The following is a 3,126-nucleotide window of genomic DNA, read 5'->3' as shown; positions in this document are numbered from 1 at the left end:
TGTGAAATAAGTCATTCAATTGAAAGACCTTCAACAAAAAAAAGCCATGGTTTCTGTCTTAGTGAGAAGGCTTGTGGCTTGTGGTAGTTTTGTGTTCTAAGCACAGGCTGCCTGGGACCTAGCTAGCTTTTGACAGCAGATGACAAGTGCAAGAAAAGAGGACAGTTTCCTGGTGACATGGTTTGGTTGTATACCCACCCAAATCTTATCTTGAATTGTAACTCCTCTGAAGGGGTCTGCCTGCAGACCCTGACTCAACAATGGAAGAATTAAGTACACTAACACAGAGATATTCTGTTTTGCCAATTCGACTGAGCATCCGGACCGCTTACAGACTCCCAGGAGAATGCTGTAAACAGTTGTGACCATGGCCCCAACCAGCCAGTGAGACTCGCATTTATTCAGTCAAGACTAATTGACAAAGGCTTGAGTCAACACCACTAGAGGGTAATTGACATTGCCAACCTTCCAAGTAGAAAGCAATTAAGCACCCATGGCAGATCAAAAGTTAATCTTAGGACTACATGACTAAACAAGATAGTTAGATAACTTCCTCACATTTCTTTGTTTCTACTCTAATTTATTTAATGAAATGTAGGGGACTAGGCTGCCTTCAGCCAGATTTATTACCAAAGTTATGCAAAATCTCATGCCTTCCAAGAGGGTTTGTGGCTATTATAACTAATTTTTTTTTCCAACCAGCCTGACTAAACCACCACATCTCCCCTTTTTTGTTTTCTGCATCAGGTCTTTTGGATTGGAGAGTGCAGATGTGTTCAGCGACAGGTCTGTCAGGTGTGGCAGTCATTGCTCTTATTCCAGCTTTGCATCCTAGAATTAGCAAATAATATAAAACCATCATGTGTACAGTTAGCAACATTCTTTTCCAGTCAAAGAGTGACTGTAGTGTTATTTGGCATCTCAGTTTATTGTATGCCATTAATGAGGAACTCCATTATGTTAATTTTTTTTAGTTAAACAGTCACGTTGTTAGAAGATGAGAAGGGGGTGTTTTTTAAAGTAACAGGGCAGAAAAAAGGCGGACTTAAGAAATGAGCTTAATAGAGTGTAGCAGGTACCAGTTGCAGACAAAGTGGGAGAATTAAAAAGGATTAAAATTTCTGGCTCAACCTTTTGCTTCTTTATATTGTGTGTCTTCTGCAGAAGCAGCATTGCCTGGGGCTGCTGGTCCTATAGTAGGGTCTTTTTTAGGCTGGTTTGAGTTTTTTTTTTCTTTCCATCCTTTAATGAGGACGTAGTCTCCAGGCTGGTGCTGGTGTACTGGAAATTCTAGGGGTGGTGCCTGTGCTAAGACACCTTTTATAATCTTTCTAAAGAGCAGGTTAGTGCTTTAAGAAAAACCTGCTGTGATTTATTTTAATGTCTAGTTTACAGAAAAACTGGATGAAACTTCTTTAACTTTAGCCAATATGTTTACACACAGAATTTTTTTTACAATTAACATTTTAAAACTTGCTTAGAGTGTGAAAAAGAAGAGGCGAGAAAGACCCCCCGACAGACCAAAGCCCGTGTGCCGCTGCATCCTGCATCCAGCACCTACCTCCCGCCACTGTCGCCACTGCCACCATGCCCAAGAGAAAGGCTGAAGGGGATGCTAAGGGAGATAAAGCCAAGGTGAAGGATGAACCACAGAGAAGATCCGCAAGGTTGTCTGCTAAACCTCCTCCTCCAAAGCCAGACAGCCCAAGCCTAGAAAGGCCCCTGCAAAGAAGGGAGAGAAGGTACCCAAAGGGAAAAAGGGAAAAGCTGATGCTGGCACAGAGGGGAATAACCTTGCAGAATATGGAGATGCCAAAAAGACCAGGCACACAAAGCTGAAGGTGCTGGAGATGCCAAGGGAAGTGTGTGCATTTTTGATAACTGTGTACTTCTGGTGACTGTACAGTTTGAAATACTATTTTTTATCAAGTTTTATAAAAATGCAGAATTTTGTTTTACCTTTTTTTTAAAGCTATGTTAGTACACAGAACACTTCATTGTTGCTTTTGGGGGAAGGGGCATATGTCACTAACAGAAGGTCTCCAAAGCTGCATTGATGTGGAGAAAACACCTTTCCCTTCTAGTTTTGAGAGACTTCCTCTTGGCTCCCAGGAGGAGGGATTCCCTGACTTTGACACACATGGCCACCTTGGCACAAAAGCCTTGTGGTATAGAAAAACAAATTTGTTTTTATGTCCTCTTCTCCCTTTCCATCTTTCAGCATAGACTTAACTCCCTTAAGCCCAGACATCTGTTGGGACCTGACCCCTAGTCATTGGTTACCAGTGTGTCAGGCAATCTGGACTTTCCAGTGATGCCACTGAGATGGCACCTGTCAAAAGAGTAGTGGTTCCATTTCTAGATTGTAGATCTTCAGATAAATTCTGCCATTTTCATTTCACTTCCTGAAAGTCAGGGTCGGCTTCTAAAAATTTGTTAAACAATATGCTAAATGTGAAATGTCACCCCTCACTCTAAACTTTCCCCGTTCAGAGCATCAGATGAAGACTTCATTGGGTTTTATAGTGGCTTTCTGATTTTTGGTAGTCCATTGAAGAAGGGAGTTTGAAAGTTGTTGTATACTGTTAACGATTATCTGCCCATGTCCTGCCTGAAATACCGTGATTGTTTATGGAAAGTATCTTTAATAAAGCTGGATATAGTTTGGCTTGGAAAAACAAAACTTGCTTAGACATTCAAAACAAAAATTATACAATATTTCCATATACAACATTTTTCATGACTTTCACAGACAATCTTTGCCATGCCTTAACTTTCTGACTTTGTTTTATAACCTTCCTTACTAAAAGTGCATTCTTATATCTATAACTTTCTTAAAATTTCCTTTTCCTCTTCCTACTTTACCTCTCCTCTTTGTGTTACTTTTTGTGTCGCTCTATGATCGCTCTCTCTTCTAGACTTTTTGTTACTCATTCTTTCCCTCTTGAGCTGGCATAAGCTGGACCATTATTTGTTTTGATTTTTTAGGGCCATTCCATAAATGCACAAGTTAAAAGAAGATGTTTAATGACATATCAAGTTGACTCTTTAGGGAAAGCATGTGCACTTATTAAATGAGTGTTGGTTTCAATGGATTCATGTACATATCTAAGTTTTCCAAATTCA

At 40.1% G+C, this 3,126-nt stretch overlaps 1 pseudogene; it reads left to right on the top strand.

Moving 5' to 3' along the window:
• Positions 1,482–2,675, top strand: HMGN2P41 (high mobility group nucleosomal binding domain 2 pseudogene 41; annotated as a pseudogene).

The sequence above is a fragment of the Homo sapiens genome, chromosome 16, assembly GCF_000001405.40.
Source record: "Homo sapiens chromosome 16, GRCh38.p14 Primary Assembly".
Taxonomy (NCBI): domain Eukaryota; kingdom Metazoa; phylum Chordata; class Mammalia; order Primates; family Hominidae; genus Homo; species Homo sapiens.
Note: the sequence above shows the minus strand (reverse complement) of the source record. Positions and strands in the feature narration are given on the sequence as shown.